At 59.0% G+C, this 16,330-nt stretch overlaps 1 protein-coding gene across 1 annotated transcript in view, besides 2 other annotated features; it reads left to right on the top strand.

Moving 5' to 3' along the window:
- CARD10 (caspase recruitment domain family member 10) overlaps nucleotides 1-14,062 on the top strand; it is a 29,054-nt gene extending 14,992 nt beyond the window's left edge. The window contains exons 9-20 of the mRNA NM_014550.4: nucleotides 123-238; nucleotides 1,211-1,239; nucleotides 1,699-1,822; nucleotides 7,246-7,405; nucleotides 7,864-7,975; nucleotides 8,421-8,664; nucleotides 8,838-8,907; nucleotides 10,236-10,338; nucleotides 11,622-11,780; nucleotides 11,874-11,989; nucleotides 12,557-12,669; nucleotides 13,031-14,062. Of these exons, the coding sequence (NP_055365.2) occupies nucleotides 123-238; nucleotides 1,211-1,239; nucleotides 1,699-1,822; nucleotides 7,246-7,405; nucleotides 7,864-7,975; nucleotides 8,421-8,664; nucleotides 8,838-8,907; nucleotides 10,236-10,338; nucleotides 11,622-11,780; nucleotides 11,874-11,989; nucleotides 12,557-12,669; nucleotides 13,031-13,265 (1,581 nt within the window). The 3' untranslated portion in view covers nucleotides 13,266-14,062. The remainder of the gene's footprint in view (nucleotides 1-122; nucleotides 239-1,210; nucleotides 1,240-1,698; nucleotides 1,823-7,245; nucleotides 7,406-7,863; nucleotides 7,976-8,420; nucleotides 8,665-8,837; nucleotides 8,908-10,235; nucleotides 10,339-11,621; nucleotides 11,781-11,873; nucleotides 11,990-12,556; nucleotides 12,670-13,030) is intronic.
- Nucleotides 1,165-1,762: an enhancer, noted in NCBI's record as "H3K4me1 hESC enhancer chr22:37898669-37899266 (GRCh37/hg19 assembly coordinates)". NCBI's record gives its function as "activates a minimal SCP1, AML or CMV promoter by ChIP-STARR-seq in naive H9 embryonic stem cells {active_cell/tissue: H9 hESC(naive)}" and the evidence as "EXISTENCE:reporter gene assay evidence [ECO:0000049][PMID:30033119]".
- Nucleotides 1,763-2,362: an enhancer, noted in NCBI's record as "H3K4me1 hESC enhancer chr22:37898069-37898668 (GRCh37/hg19 assembly coordinates)". NCBI's record gives its function as "activates a minimal SCP1, AML or CMV promoter by ChIP-STARR-seq in naive H9 embryonic stem cells {active_cell/tissue: H9 hESC(naive)}" and the evidence as "EXISTENCE:reporter gene assay evidence [ECO:0000049][PMID:30033119]".
- Nucleotides 14,063-16,330: the final 2,268 nt, after the last annotated feature.

Genomic DNA, 16,330 nt, shown 5'->3' with positions numbered 1-16,330 from the left:
GAGCCCGCTCTTCTGCTCTGGGCCCTACTTCTCATTTGTGGAATGGGCACAAACCAGGTGTGCTGAGGACTGGGATGGTGCTGGGCAGTGGGGGTGACCCAGGCCCTGTCATGGCATTGCAGGAGGAAGCCACAGACAGTGAAAAGGAGATCAATCGGCTCTCCATCCTGCCCTTCCCCCCCAGTGCCGGCTCCATCCTCCGCCGGCAGCGTGAGGAAGACCCCGCACCCCCTAAGAGGTGAGATGGCTGGGGATAGCAGTAGACACCCAGGGAGGTGGGGCTGCCGTTTCCCGAACAGCCACCTCCCAGAATCTGCAATGCCAAAGTCAGGTCCAGGCAGTCACTTCCCTTTATTGCCCTCAGATGGCTGGAGCTCTGGAAACCCAGGTCCTGTGAGTCACAGGGGCGACCAAGGTCAGGCTTAAGATAAGGCCGATGGGCAGAGCGAACTCAGTCCTAGCCAAGCATCCTGGCAGGAGGGTCACTGGGGGTCAAGCCTTGAAGATCCTATACCCAAGGAGAAGCTTGATGGTTCAGGACTAGGGGGCGTGGAGAATGTTTCAAGGTATCAGGGACCTCCGGCAAGAAAGCCAGGCCCCAGGTTTGGGCATCAGCAGCAAATAGGGACCAGAAAAACCAAGGCGCACCCTCTGGTGGCAAGACCAAGGGCGGGAGATAGCCTGCCTCCTGGGGCGCGATCCTTGTCACTGCTTTTCCCCTGTAAGCAGCCCTTGATTTATTCCTTTACTGGTGAGAGGCTGGGCCCTGGGAGGCTGTGGTCAGTATGGCCTTGATCTGCGTAAATCTGTCCCAAGGAGGTGTCTGATGAGGAGGTCATGGTTTAATTTAGGAGGCGTACCTGGGAGTCACAAACCACAAAGGTGGCAAGTGAGGGTGAGGTGAGGGGTGAGAGATCAGGGGTGGCTTCCAGGAGGAGGTGGCATTGAAAGAGCTGGCTTTGAAGGGCATGCCAGGGCATTGTAGGTGGAACAACATTGGACAGAGGCCAGGACATTAACTTCTTACCCTGGGAGTTTAGGGGAGCCAGGTGGCATGGGTGCCCTGTACCTGGGACCCTGCCTTGAGTCTAGCCTGCATTTGCTTGGGGGCTGTGAGACATTTATCTGGTGTGGGGGCAGGAGGAGGGAGCGGGGCAGAGTGCCCACTGTGCCTCACCTCCTGCCCCCTCCCTGCCCTCTCTCTGCCCAGATCCTTCAGCAGCATGTCAGACATCACAGGTAACAGCCCTTGAGTTCCGTGGGGAGGGCTCCTCTGGTCGGGGGAGGTGGCTTTGCAGCCCACCTGAAGCCTGCACCACCTGCGCTACCTTTGGCCTGCATCCCCTTCCCTGAAGCCCCGCCGTGGCCCCTGCCAGGCAGGAAGGTTGTGCTTGGGAGGACCCTGGGGACTTTGGTTCCAGCCTCTCACCCCGAGCCCAGTCCTGGGCCTCACTCCTGTTCCCGGCTGTGATGTACGAGGCTCTTCAGTTCTGGGCCACCTTTCACCCTCTTCTGGGAAACTGCGGGGTCAGCCTGGTGGGCCCTGACCTATCTCTGAGCCCAGTGGGTCTGATGTGCTCCTGGGGCCTCAAACCTGCCAAGGCCTCTCTGGGCTGGAGGGGGGTCAGTCCCTGTCATGGACCCTGGCCATCCCTGTTTCCCAGTGCCAGATCCCTGAACCTCATTCTTTTTCCCCAGGGAGTGTGACACTTAAGCCCTGGTCCCCTGGCCTCTCTTCGTCCTCATCCTCTGACAGCGTGTGGCCTTTGGGAAAGCCGGAAGGCCTCCTGGCTCGGGGCTGTGGCCTGGACTTCCTCAACAGGTACTGTAGCTGCCTGCAGTGGGTGGAGCTGGGGTGATTGCTTGAGAGGGGAACAGGAGTGAGGTGGGAGGAGCAATTGCCTCGCCCCTGTTTTATGCAACTATTGGAAGATTAAGATCTGTAGACACTGGCAGCCCTTGGATTCCAATCCTGCTGCCGCTCTTGATCGTCCCTGTGACTTGGGCTGGTCCCTTCACTTCTCTGGGCCTCCATTTCCTCAGTAGCTAAAGGGAGATGATGACCCTTTTTGCATGGAGGTCTTTTGAGGGCTCTGCTCGCAGAAGCAAAGCACCCAGCTCTGCCAGGCATGTAGCAGGTGCTTAGTAATAGTTGTCACTTACAAGCTGTCCTCGTCCCAATGTCCTGCCTGTCAGTCCCTTGGCTCTGAGTCCCTGGGACTGAGCCACCCAGCAAAGTTTCATGCTGTGGGTGGGCTTGGGTCACCTCAGGAGCCCCTGTGACCGGGCCAGCCACAGGTCCATAACAGGAGTCACAAAGCCCATTAGTGCAGAGTGCACTGTAGGCGACGTGCTGTTAGTGTGGCCGGTGCGTGGCCGCTGTTCACACCTGCCAGTGTATCTAAGGGAGGGGTGGGGCAGAGCGGGGGCTGCACGGCCATTGTGGTCTTGGAACTCAGCTGTGAGGAGAGGGCAGGTAGGGAGAGCATCCGGTGACTGTGGAGGAGGAGCGAGGGGGAAGGGCGAAAGTCAAGGCTTCCTGAGTCAGGCTGGGAAAGTGTGGACTTTGGCTTGTACACTCTGGGAAATGTGGGAGGGTTTAGTTATTAACTGCAAGGCCAGCTGCTGGCTGTTTTACAACATGCTCTTTGTCCAGGGAGTAGGCATAATGACGATTATCTCTGCTCCATAGAGGAGGTAACTGGGGCTCAGAGAGGTTAAGCAACTTGCCCAGGGTCCCACAGTTGGGAAGTACCAGGTCTGGGTTCATAGTGACCTGATCAGATTTGGGTTTTGGAAAGGGCATAGGAAACATGGACTGTCAGCGCTGGAATGTGGAGGTGTTGGGTGCAGAGGGATGGGTCACGCAGCAGATGGGTACAGCATAGGACCAGGGCCTCTGGCCTCCGGAGCGGCTTGGTCAGCCAGTGTCCAGGCCCTGCCCCCACCTGGCCCCCGGCAGTGGGCTCAGCGAGACATTGTTTTTGCCTGTGCAGGACGTGCTTCTCGGGGAAGGGGTGGAGGCGCCTCCCTTCCTGCTCGCCTCGGCCCTTCCTCCCTTCCTCCAGTTTGGGCTGCAGCAGGGGTCCTGGCTGTTGTCCAGGGGGCGCCAGGATGCAGCCAGGGAGCAGGAGCCTCCGTCCCAGCCCCGCCCAGGCCCCACGATCACATGGGGCCACTTCTGCTGCCCATGCTGTTCCTGGGGAGGAGAGAGGTTCCTGGGGAAGAACACAGGCTGGGGAAGGTGCAGAGGTGGTGGACAGAGAGAGAGAGAGAAAGAGAGAGAGAGAGGCAGACAGGCGGAGAGGAGAGGGAGAGGGAGATGAGGGCCCGGACAGGTCCCAGGTCGGGGCAACTTGTGTGTCTCCTGGGATTGTGTTATGGCGAGGTGGGAAGAGCTGGCTTTGGTGTCAGCACTTGCTACTGTGGGACCTTGGGCATGTCTCTGAATTTCCCAGTGCCTCAGTTTCCTGCTCTGTAAAATGGGCTCACATAGTGCCTGTCCCTTAGGGTCACTATGGGGGTTTGAGTATCCCTTCTAGAATGCTTAGCACACTCACGGTGGATGTCAGCATATGCTCGCGGTTAGTTATGATTATTGTCGCCATTGTTGTTTAATCCTCAGAGCAGCTCTGCAAGGCTGGAATTTTAACCTCGTTACACAGACCAGGACACTGAAGTACAGAGACAGTTAGAAATTGGTCCCAAGTCACAGGCCCCTCGGAGCTGGTTGGAGATTCCGATGTGCCTCCCCACTGTCTCAGCTGTTGGAGATCTCACATCCGTATTGTGTGCCCACTTTGTACTGGGCACCATGTTGGGCATTTTCTCTCCTCTTTCCCATTTCCTGCCCATCTCTTGCCCTCAGCCTCTCTGCCCTGCCCTTCTCAGCTCCTGGAGCCTGGGTGCCGGGAGGGGATGGTGGATAGTGGGGGGCTGGGGCAGACCGGGGGTTGGGCTGACAGATAGTCAGGTGGGGGACAGCAAGGGAGAACTCATGGGGCAAGTGAGGTGCTGGGTGAGAGAGGCAGAGCATGGAGAGCACTGGAGGGTTTCGGGGTGCCGTCTCCCCAGCATAGCCTCACCACTGCCCAGCTCGCTCACGTGGCCCCAGGGGATCTCTGGCACCTTCTGTCCTTGCAAAGAGAGGGTTCCCATAAGTCATTGCCTGGCTCCACGGCCCACTAGCTGTGCCCATTCTTGGCAAGTTAACTTTCCTGTGCCTCAGTTTCCCTTATCTCAACCATCGGGTTGTCAGGAGGATTGACTGAGGTGATCTGTGTGGCATGCTTCAGTCTCAGCATCAGGTCCCTGACCTGGTACCAAGCAGGCACGCAGACTACTCAGATATCTTCCCACGGGGCCCTGGGGGACATTCATTGAGGCCATGTGGCCTGTCACTGCTCAGAGCTGGCAGAGCTGGCAGACTTGCCCCGTTCCTGTCTGCCTGTGACCTGACCTGACTGGGGAGGGGGCTGGGAGCTGGTAGCTAAGGACACTGTGCTTCCTAGTACCACACAGGCAGCCAGCTGGTCAGCCAGTCCCAGGAGCGGGGAGCAGGCAGCCCCTCTCCCTGCTGTGTCCTTTCTCTACCCCTCCTGCTTGTCTGCTGAGGCGGGGGGCTGGGAGGAACCCTATCTGGACCCTGCTCTGGGCAAGCCCCTGTGGGCTCTGCAGACTCCGAGGAGTGCTGGGAGCAGGTATTCCTGGTCTGTGGAGGCTCAGAGAAGTCACTGGTCCTTTGAGGAGGTTGGCAAGGGCGTCCTGGAGGAGGGGGCGCCTGAGCTGGGTCTTCAGGGAGCTGCAGGAGTTGTCAAGAAGAGCCTGAAAAACCTGAGTTGAAAGCTGAGGTCAGCCTTGATGCTTGCATTGCAGAGGGGAGAGGTGTGGAGGAGGGAGCGAGTAGAGGTGGGTGGGGTGGGTAGGGTTGGTGGAAGAGCCTGGATGCCAGCTGCTTACTGGGCTCTGGTCTGGAGAGGCCATGATGGTCAGTTGTCTGTGGGTTTGAAACAGGTGGGGAAACTGAGGCAAGCGAGAGGTGATTTGTTGTGAATCACACCTGATGCCAGTAAATGTCTAGTTTTGACAGAGCACTTAGTGTCTCCTGGGCCCTGTTCTGAGAGCTGCCCATGTCTAAACTCAGCGAGTAGCCAGGGAGGTGGGTGGAGCTGAGGCTCAAGCGGCTGAGCAGCTGGGCCGTTTGACCCCAGAGTTCCTGCTGGCACCCTGCGTGCTGTGCTTCTCGGACCATCTGACCACAACCCACAGTGAGAGAAACCCGGTACACATGCCTGGAACAAAAAGGTCATGAGATAATAATTGGATTTACCTGGGGTGGCGGGAGCGGGGTGGGGGATAGCATTGTACTTTCTATTCCATAGCATTATCCAGCTGTCCCAGTCGCAACCCAGTGAATGTTACCAGCCACTAAGGGCCAGGCCTGCAGTTTGGAGGCCCCAGAGTCCTCTGGTTTCCACCTCTCCCTGCATTATCTTTTATTCATGTGCCCCCCCCCCCCACCCCCCAGCACCCACAGAGGGCAAGGGGTGTCATTGTCAGCTTCGTGTTATGCATGTGGTAACTGACGCTCAGCAGCCGGCTCATTTGCCCAGGCTAGGGTGCAGTTTGCCCTGGGGTTTGGAGCGGACCGTGTGCTCCAGCCACAAAGCCAGGGCCAGCATAGCCAGGCCAGGTCTCAGGCCTGCCCCCTTTCCATGCCACCTCGATGCAGCCAGGACATGCGGCACTGAATGATGCCTCCCATGCCTGCATCTGTCCAGCCCCTCGGCCTGGCTCTGTGTCTTACCTGAGAGGGCGGGGCTGTTCCCCAGCAGTGCCGATTGGGTGGGAGGTCCTTGCAGCCGCGCCCTCCCCAGGCTGGCAGCAGGGGGCAGTGCAGCTGTGTCTGGGCTGCAGCTGCTGGGGTGGATGGAGATGCTTCGCCCCGCTGCCTCTCCAGCCAGCACACCTGCTGACCTTGGTCTCCCCACCTCCTCCAGGCCAAGGTGTCTGGCAGGGGACTTGGGGTCCATTTGTCTCTGAGCCTGGCCACAAGGCCTCACCTTTTCTCATCCAGGGACAGGCAGAACCCTACCATGATGGGGATTTTGGTGACGTCTTAATTGTCAGTGGTCCTCCTGCCCATGGGAGGAAAACCAGACGCCTCTGTTCCACGCCCTCCAAAGGGTGGCTCCAGCTTGCCTTTCCTGGGAGCTGCTTCCCAGGATGTAAAATAAGAATTAGGGCAAGGAGCTCAGCATGGTGTCTGGCACATGGAAAGCACCCAGGAAGTGTTCGCTGCTATTGTTATTATTAAATTCTTCCACGCATCCTGTGTTCTGTCCTCCACACCTTTGCTCTGATATATTCCTTCAGCCTGGAACTCTGTTTCCTCCATCTGTCACCAAAGTGCATCTATTCTTCACCAGCGTGTAGCCTAGGTACTTCTTCCGTGGGAAGCCTCTCTCTGCTTCCACGGCTGGTTGTAACCACCTTTGGATCTGTGCCACGTGCTAATGGTGACCTCCCTCCTCAGACTGTGAGCATAACAAGCTTTTTTTTTTTTTTTTGAGACAGAGTTTCAGTCTTGTTGCCCAGGCTGGAGTGCAGTGGCTCGATCTCGGCTCACTGCAACCTCTGCCTCCTGGGTTCAAGCAATTCTCCTCCCAAGTAGCTGGAATTACAGGCGCCCACCACCACGCCCGGCTAATTTTTTTGTATTTTTAGTAGAGATGGGGTTTCACTATGTTGGCCAGGCTGGTCTCGAACTCCTGACCTCATGATCCGCCTGCCTCGGCCTCCCAAAGTGCTGGGATTACAGGCGTGAGCCACCGTGCTTGGCTATATAACAAGCTTTTATTAGTCATCTGCTATGTGCCAGACACTGGGTTTGGTGCCAGGGCTACAGAGCGGAACAGTATAGAAGTTTGGTCCTGAAGGTGTTCGTTCTGATGGAGGAAACGAAAGGGCCGTGGCAAGGCAAAGTTGGAGTGCTCTGTGGCACGCAGGCTCCACTGCACCGTGTGCCCAGGTCCAGGGGAGAGGCTGCTTGTGACTTGAGATTTGAAGGATGATCAGCATTTCCCAGGTGGAGAAGGCAAGGAAGAGGGCACAGAAGATGGAGAGGCCTGGGGGTGGGAGTCATGGCATACTTGGGAAATGAAATCACTGTGGTTTTCCAAGAATGCTGAACTGAATCCAAGTACTGATTGGACTCCAATTCTCATCTCCTTTCTCCCTTCTCAGGTCTCTGGCTATTCGGGTGTCTGGCCGGAGCCCCCCAGGGGGCCCAGAGCCGCAGGACAAGGGACCAGATGGACTGTCGTTTTATGGGGACAGATGGTCTGGGGCTGTGGTGCGCAGGGTGCTGTCTGGGCCTGGGTCCGCCAGGATGGAACCAAGAGAGGTGAGGCCCTGCCTCCTGAGCTGGGGGGGTAGGGTCAGTGCTTTTGCCCAGGCTGGACATCCCTTAATTTGGTGGATCAAGATCACCGGGCAGAGCTTCTGGGGATTGGTCAAAGCCGAAGCGGGCTCAGTGATTAGCTGTGGTTGCCTGCTCAGCCAGGCTTAATTGAAGTCTGATTGGGCAGGGACTGGGAGGTGGAGCCAACTGACAGCACGTTACATTCCTGCGCTTCAAGTCGAGAAAGACCTGGATGAGCTGGGCGGGTTGGGGAGTCCTGTGGATGGGGGCGTCCTGTGGATGGGGACGGGTCTGACTGGGCTGGGCATGGCAGTTTCTGAGGGGGCGCTATCTGAACTGTGAGGCATGAAACACCCCCACACCTGGTCTTCCTCCAGCCCCTGGGCTGCTCTACTCTCAGAGGCTCACTTCTTTCCCTCCCTGCCTGGGTTTTCTCCCAGCAAAGGGTGGAAGCTGCTGGTCTGGAGGGGGCGTGCCTGGAAGCCGAGGCCCAGCAGAGAACCTTGCTCTGGAATCAGGGGTCCACACTCCCCTCCCTGATGGACTCGAAGGGTAAGTCTGGCTTGGGAGTCGGAGCTGTTGGCCCCAGAGGGGTCCTCTAACCCGTGGTGCATGGGGTGGGGAGGGACCAAGGACCTGAGAAGGGACCAGCCTTGCCCCAATTGCCCTTCTCCTGGCTCCCCGCCTGCTGATGCCTCCTTCTGTCTGTCCTTGTGCCCTTTCTCTATGCCTCCCTCTGTAAGCAGCTTACAGTGAAAGGAGCACTACATTAGGAGTCCAGAGACCTGGGTTTGAGTCCTGGCTCTGTTTCTAGAAGGCACTGGCCTTGGGCAAGTCCCTGCCCCCTCTGGACCTAAGTCATTCTAAGAAGGTGAAGGTCGGGTCCTGGGAACTCAGGCCTCGAGAGGGCCATGTCTTTGGCCCCACCAAGGCCGATCCTGGACCTCACCATCCTCCTCTTGTCCTCCTTGCTGCCCCCTGCCCCATCCATGCCCAGCCTGCCAGTCCTTCCACGAGGCCCTAGAAGCCTGGGCAAAGGGACCAGGTGCCGAGCCCTTCTACATTCGTGCCAACCTCACCTTGCCTGAGAGGGCAGATCCCCATGCCCTTTGCGTGAAAGCCCAAGAGATCCTTCGACTGGTGGACTCGGCATACAAGCGGAGGCAGGAATGGTTCTGCACCCGGGTTGACCCCCTCACTCTGCGGGACCTGGACCGGGGCACCGTGCCCAATTATCAGAGGTGACGCAGAGCCAGGAGCTGGGGATGGGGTCCCCCTGGGAGCCAGGGCTCAGATGGGGGTGCTCTCCCTCCACCTGCATTCCCTCACCATCCTCTGGGACAGGGCGGGGGGTTCGAGGAGAAATGAGGAGCTTTCCTTCTTTCTACACACATGATGTCACTCCCTCCCACAGAGCCCAGCAGCTCCTAGAAGTTCAGGAGAAATGCCTGCCCTCCAGCCGGCACCGAGGCCCCCGCAGTAATGTGAGCACGGCTGGGCAGGTAGTGGGTGGGGGGCCCCAAGGGTGGGGTCCAAAAGGGAGCTAGCAGGCTCTGTTCTCTGGCAACCTAGGAAGACACTCCCTCCCTCCTTCCCTGGTGATTTAATTGGTCATCTACTATGTGCCCAGCAAACAGAACAGCAGAGCTCACCGTCCAGGGTAGTTTAGAGATGAAATGAGGTAAAGCGTGCCTAGTATGCAGGAGTACCCCTGGTACATAATAAGCATTTGACAGGCTGGGCACAGTGGCTCACGCCTGTAATCCCAGCACTTTGGGAGGCCGAGGTGGGCGGATCACAAGGTCAGGAGATCGAGACCATCCTGGCTAACACGGTGAAACCCCGTCTCTACTGAAAATACAAAAACAAAATTAGCCGGGCGTGGTGGCGGGTGCCTGTAGTCTCAGCTACTTGGGAGGCTGAGGCGGGAGAATGAAGTGAACCCGGGAGGCGGAGCTTGCAGTGAGCCAAGATCGCGCCACTGCACTCCAGCCTGGGCCACAGGGCAAGACTCCGTTTCAAAAAAAAAAACAAAAAAAACAAACCAGCAGTCATGTCCCCTTTTCCAATGCCTGGATGGTGGCTGGGCTTCGTGGCCAGCGCTGCTGTGCACATGGGCAAGTGAGGCTCAGAGCCATCAGATAAAGGAAGAGCGAGGGCCCCAGCCAGGCAGCCTGCATTCGACCCCAGCTCTGCCACCTATCAGCTGTGTGACTTTGGACAATCACCTGAACCTTCCTTGAGGCTTGTTTCCTCATCTGTAAAGTGCGGGGGTTGTACTGCCTGTCAGGCTGTGCGTGGCAGGAGATGACTTCCGTGAGTTAGTGCCCCTCAGGGGCTTAGTGAGTGTCTGTCATGTTGTAGGCATTTGAGACCTGTCAGGTATTGGTAAAATCAGTGCCATCTTTATTGGTTTCATTAATTTTTCTACCAAGGTCACATTGCTAATTCATTGGAAGAGACCCTAAAGTTTGCCTCGTATGTGACATTTGGTTCCTCTTGGTCTCTGGGCCTCAGTCTCCCCATCTGTAGCTTGGGGGGTATACCTAAGGCTCCTCCACCAGGCTCAGACGGGCTGGCTTCCCGGGGGCCACAGGGATGGCTGCTCTCATCTGCCTGGGGGACTGTGCTGGGCTGGGGAGGGGCAGGGGAGGGCCTGGTGGAGAAGGACATCTTTGCTGACCCAGGCTCTTCTGGCAAGCCTGGACCACAGTGGCAGTGGGGCCCGCTGTGCCAGGGGTCCCGTTTCCTCCTCTCCCTGAGGGGGCGGGGCTGAGCTCTCAGATGCTCCTCTGTCCCTGCACCCTCCCAGCTGAAGAAGAGAGCCCTGGACCAGCTGCGGCTGGTGAGGCCCAAGCCCGTGGGGGCGCCTGCAGGGGACTCCCCGGATCAGCTGCTGCTGGAGCCCTGTGCAGGTGAGTGCGCGGGGGCAAAGCTGTATCCCGTGTTGCTCCCATTGTCCAGGGATGTGTGCAGCTGAGTGTCCTTTAGCTTGGGTGGCCTCTTTGGCCTGGAAGGGCCTGTTGTGAGGGTTCCAACAGGAGTGGGGGTCATGCTGGGGGCCTGAGAGACAAGACCACCCCACCTGCCATGGTGATTGCCAAGGTTGAGGGAGACCCTGCGGGGAGGTGCATGCAGACGTGGCTGTGACTGTGGGTTTGCACACATACTGGCTTGTTCTTTTCTGGCAGAGTGTGTGTAGTGGTGCTTCTCACACGTGTGTGGTGGCAGGTGCTGTGAGGACCCAGGGGGGTTCCCGGAGGCAGTAGGGTGAGGCCTTAGGCCAGACAGGTAGAAGGGGCTGGGGGAGCTCAGATGAGGGAGTAGCAAATCTGGGGCAAGAGGAGCGGGTAGTTAGGGAAGACTTCCTGGAAGAGAGGGAGTTTCCGCGGGGGCCTTCAAAGTTAAAGAGGAGTTCGTTCCAGGCAGAAGGCACAGAGGCATGGCTGTGTGTGGTGTGCTTGGAGGGTGTTGGGGACAGCAGGTGAGTATTGAGTACCAGCTCTGTCAGGCATTGGGGACGTGACTGTCCCTGCCCTCATGGAGCTTGCTGTCTAATTAGGGGGTAGAGAGTCAGATAATCCCACCTATGAACACAATGAGAGAGTGTGAGGTGTGCAGTGGAGAACTGGGGGCCGTGGGGCACATGCCAGGGGCCCTGATGTCTGGGGACCAGGGAAGGTGTGACCTAGGCTCTGAAGGGAGGGCAAGGGTTAACTGGGCTGAGTGGTGCAGGGCTGGGGCTTTGGGCAGCCCCAGGGCATGCAAAGGCCCTGTGGTTGGACGCAGCTGAAGGGAGAGTGGAGGCTGGTGGTGTGGGGTCAGTGGCTGGCAGCCTCCCCAGGCTCTCAGGCAGGACTGTGTCACCCACGTGGGGGATGTGGCTTTTATTCCTGAGAATCTGGGAAGTCACTGGTGTGTTGAAAGCAGGGGAGTTAACATGATCTGATTTGCTTTTTAAAGCCTCTCTGGCTGCTGGATGGAGAATGACCCGTAGGGGGCAGGGATGAGGCAGAGAATCAGGGAGGAGCCTACTGCCACCGTCGGTCCTACTAAGGGTGTGTGTGTGTGCATGTGTAGGAGGAGCAGCAGCAGGACTTAGGAAGGGATGGGTGGCGGGGTGGGTTTTGGGGTATCGACGAGCTGGTATGCTGCCTGCCTGTGCCCTTATCTCTTTTGCGCCCCTCCCCTGCCACAGAGCCGGAGCGGAGCCTCAGACCCTACAGTTTGGTGCGGCCGCTACTGGTGTCTGCCCTGCGGCCCGTGGTGCTGTTGCCTGAGTGCCTGGCGCCCCGGCTCATCCGTAACCTGCTAGACCTGCCCAGCTCCCGGCTGGACTTCCAAGTGTGCCCAGCGGGTGAGACTATGTGCCGGGGAGGGGAGGCTGGGTGCCCCTCTGGGCAGCCGGGCCCATGGATCCTTCATCTCTCCCTCTCCACTCCCTGTGCAGAAAGCCTCTCTGGGGAGGAACTGTGCCCATCCTCAGCGCCTGGAGCCCCCAAGGCTCAGCCTGCCACCCCTGGGCTAGGCAGCAGGATCCGGGCCATCCAGGAGTCTGTTGGGAAGGTGGGTGCTGGGGGCTGGCCTGGGGTGCTCACAGAGGTGGCCCAGAGCGGGTGCTGCTGTTCTGGGCTTGAGCGCCAGCGTCTGAGCGCGGGCCATGCTCTGCTGCTCACTGGCAGGGCGGCCCTGGCCAAGTCCTTTCCCTCCTGTGGCCTTCAGTTTCCTCACCTGTTGCCTGGGTGGGTGGGGGCAGTTGACTGCATGTGGGCCCCCCTTGAGGTGTTTGGCTGACACAGCTCACCTACACATCCTTATCCTTGAACTTGCCACTATCCTGGGAGCTGGCAGTCGGCTATAAGGTGGCGGGTGGTGGGTGGGTTTGGGTCAGCTCCATCCTCCGGGTGGGGAGGCCTAGGTCCTGAGGGGGAGGTCTGTATCTCCAGGTTGCCCCATGAGCCCAGGCCTCTTGTCTGTACTTTTGGGCTCCTTCCTCGTTGCCAGGGTCCCTCTGGGTGGGGAGGCAGGACTTGCATCTGGGAAGGCGGTGATAGGGGACCCGTCTGGGGGCAGCGCATGGGAGGCTGATGTCTGTGGCCCAGGAGTACATTGTAGCCTCGATCCTCCAAGCAGAAGCACTGCCTGCTGGAGCTGGGTGCTCGGGGTGTGCGGGAGCTGGTGCAGAACGAGATCTACCCCATCGTCATCCACGTGGAGGTGACTGAGAAGAATGTCCGGGAAGTCAGGTGAGGTGGGTGGGTGGGGCAGTGGGCAGGGCACTCGGACCTGAGAGCTTCCTCCTTGAGGATGCCTCTCTCCCTCCCCCCTCTCTCTCCCTCCCCCTCTTTCTCCCTCCCCCTCTCTCTCCTTCCCCCTCTCTCCCTCCCCCTCCCCCCTCCTTCTCCCCCTCTCTCTCCCTCCCCCCTCCCTCCCCCGTCTCTCCCTCCCCTTCTCTGTCTCTCTCTCTCCATCTCCATCTGCCATCTGTCTCTCTTTGGTTGTCCATCTTCTCTCTCTGACTCTTCCCCCTTTGTCTGTCCCTCTCTCCCTGTCTCTCTGTCTGTCTTGGTCCCCCACTTTGACCGCTGCTCACTCTTCTCTCGGCAGGGGTCTGCTGGGCCGGCCGGGCTGGCGGGACTCAGAGCTGCTGCGGCAGTGCCGTGGCTCAGAGCAGGTGCTCTGGGGGCTGCCCTGCTCCTGGGTGCAGGTGCCCGCCCATGAGTGGGGACACGCAGAGGAGCTGGCCAAGGTGGTGCGCGGCCGCATCCTGCAGGAGCAGGCCCGCCTCGTGTGGGTGGAGTGCGGCAGCAGCAGAGGCTGCCCCAGCAGCAGTGAGGCCTGAGGCTCATCTGATACCTGCACCTTCTCCCCAAGCCAGCGTGGACCCTGGTGTCTATGGTGAAGCTGGGCCCTCCCACCCTGAGCCTTCCTAGACCCTTGGACTCTCAGATGCAGGGCCCTTGGCTCTGGCCTCTCACCCCCAAGGCTGTCTCTGGCCCTGCCGAGCCTATGGGAGTCCCGGGACAGAGTGCCCACTCCCCTCTACTTGCTGCTCTGGGCCTCCCCACCTTTCCTGGGGTCTCCACATTCCCACTAGTGGGTCTTATGTGTGTCTGTGTCTTCTCCTTAAACACTCGCCCTGGAGTCTGTTCTCACACCTGTGCGCAGGTTTGCACACTCAAGTTCTCATGGGCAGGCTCAGGTCTGTCCCGCTGCCCTGGGCACGAGGTCTCCTGAGGACCTGGGCCTGTTCTGCTCCTAGGAGACCTGAGCCCGTTACCGCGTGACTCCCACCATCCAGCTCGCGCTCCTCGTGGATTCAGCCATGCATGGACTGGGGTGTTCCCTGGCCCATGGTCACCTGTGCCCCTCGTGTCTCCTCACATGGGTGTCTGTGGTTCTCTCCTGTGTAAATGTCACGCCCCACCCCTGTTTCATGTGGGCACTAACACGTGTGCGTTCCTGGCGGGCACACTCAGGACCGTGCCTCACAGGGCCCACTCCCTGCCTATGCCTCCCTCTTGGGGGGCCGAGGAGGGCGGCTGCTCTGTCATGAGAATGTACGGCCCGTGGATGATTAACGGGCCTTTTTCACTTAGAAGCTGCACATTATGGAGCATTAAACACTTTTGTCATAGATGCTGGTGGCCTTCTGCTTGCTTGTATCCCTGGCCTGGGTCCCCATCACTCTCCTCATTTGTCTCCCAGCTCAGGCGGATACCACCTTTCAGGTCCCCGCTTGCCTGTCAGGAGGGTCGGATTTCCCGCCTGCCTCTTCCCAGAGCCGCCCGCCATCTGTGCTGGCGTCACCTTACCTGCCCCTGAATGACCAGAGGAGGGCCCCACAGATGGGCCACCCCAACGCTCAGCCCTGCCCACAGCTGATCATCAGAGGAGTGTCCCCTGGAGCAGGGCACCAAAACTGGCAGGGTGTGGCCTCCGACTGAAGGGGCCTGGCTGCTGAGCCCAGGAGCTCAAGAGCAAACCCTTGGTATGCACGCAGGTTCCTGAGACAGCTCTACTGGAGAGAGGATGGTTGCTCCCACTGGGAGCAATCCAGGCAGCCTTACTGGAAGAAGTGCCACTTGAGCTTGGGAGTTGGGATTCCTTTCTTCAGGAACCACTTATTGGACCTACGTGTCCAAGTGCAGGTGACTGTCCTCAGCCACAGTGATGAGGCTGGGCAGGTCCCTGGGGCTTGGGGTTGTGGGTGTACTAACTAGGTAGGGTAGCCTCAAGGGCGAAAGCTCAGAGGCAGCACATGGGTTGGATCTGGCCACCTTGGATGGGGTCGGAAATGAGGTTGGGAAGGGCAAGTCCAGGGGTGGGGTTGGGAGCGCAAAGGAGCTTGGGCTGTGCCCTGGAGGCTGTGGGAGCCTCTCAGGATGTGGGAGCAGGGCTATGGGAGCTCTGGTTTGGAGTTGACTTAGAGAGGGCTGAGGCCAATTGGAGTAGGGGGTGGGGGGCAGGGGCAGTGGAGGAGAGAGGAGCAGACAGGAAGGAGGGGATCTGTGGCCTCCAGGGGTGGGTCTGGATCTCCATGTTTGACAAGAAAAATGCTTAAGAAGGGGTCAGGGCTGGGGATTTGGGGTGGTGGGTGGAGAAGGGAATGGAGAAGCTGGGAGAGGGGATTGGGGTGTGGATCAGGGGGCCACAGCCCCATCTTTAGTGGGAAGAGACAAGGAGTGGGTGTAGGGGAGAGGTGGTGAGGGTCTCAGAGACTGGACCACGCAGGATGACGGTGCTTGGGTATGAGGCCAGGGTGGACGGTGGGCCCAGGCTGTCCCGGGAACCCAGAGAGGCTTTCCCAGGATGGAGTGCAGGGTGCGCAGGGCACTGTAGTTTGGTTGAAACCCAAAGCTCTGGTCAGCCAGGAGACCCTGGCAACTCGGGTGGCCTCTCTGGGCCCAGGGCCCTCCCCTGTGGAGTGGAGGCCCGGATGGTGGAGTGAGCATGGAGGTACGGATTGGCCACGGCTAGGTGAGCACGTGTGGCTGGGGCTGAGCCATTGCTTGGGAAAAGGTCTTCCCACTCTCTACGACAGGGTGTCTTTGACAAGGTGCAGATTGGACTTGGAGGCCTGCCAGTCTGTCACCACTGGGGTAGGGGCTGGGGAGCTGGACCCTGAGTGGCAAAGGCGGTGCCCTGGGGGAAGGGCAGCCTCCCTGCATGGGAATCAGCGGCAATGCCGCTTTCTACTCCAGGCCTTCCCAGGTGTTGACTCTCCCATCCCCCCAGCCACATCCTCCCCACCGCGGGCAGTGGCAGTGGCCTTTCAGTTTACCCTTAGCTGTGCTCCTCTGCTCATGTGGCCCCTGCCTGGGCTGCTCTCCCTGCCTGAATCTTCCTGATCTTTGAAGCCTGGCTGAGATATTACGTATCTCCATGAAACCCACCACCAGGTCCTCCCAGCCCTTGGGACTTCTCCTGGCCCATGCCATATTCTGCCTTGTGGTGGGACGAGGGTGTCTGTGTGGCTGTCTCTCGATGTCTGTGGCTTCCTGGGCATGGAAACTGGGCTGTGTGCATTTGGGTACATGAACCTCCCCCTGCCCCACAGTGAGCCTGGCCCAGTGCTTGGCCTGGGGAAAGGCAGGGGCCTGTGACTTGGCTGCCTTTGCCTGTTCCCCGTGTCAAGCATCCTTTCTGTGGGGTGGAGAAGCCCACTCATCCTGTAATCGTCACCAAGTCATATTTTTGTCCCCATTTTAGAAATGATGAAGGTAACTTTCCTAGAGTCATACAGCCAGTGAGTGGCCCAGTTGGGAATTTTTTTTTTTGAGATGGAGTTTCACTCTTGTTGCCTAGGCTGGAGTGCAATGGCGCCATCTCGGCTCACTGCAACCTCTGCCTCCCGGGTTCAAGTGATTCTCCTGCCTCAGCCTCCCTAGTAGCTGGGATTACAGG

The sequence above is a fragment of the Homo sapiens genome, chromosome 22, assembly GCF_000001405.40.
Source record: "Homo sapiens chromosome 22, GRCh38.p14 Primary Assembly".
Lineage (NCBI taxonomy): Eukaryota > Metazoa > Chordata > Mammalia > Primates > Hominidae > Homo > Homo sapiens.
This window is presented reverse-complemented; position numbering and strand designations above follow the sequence as displayed.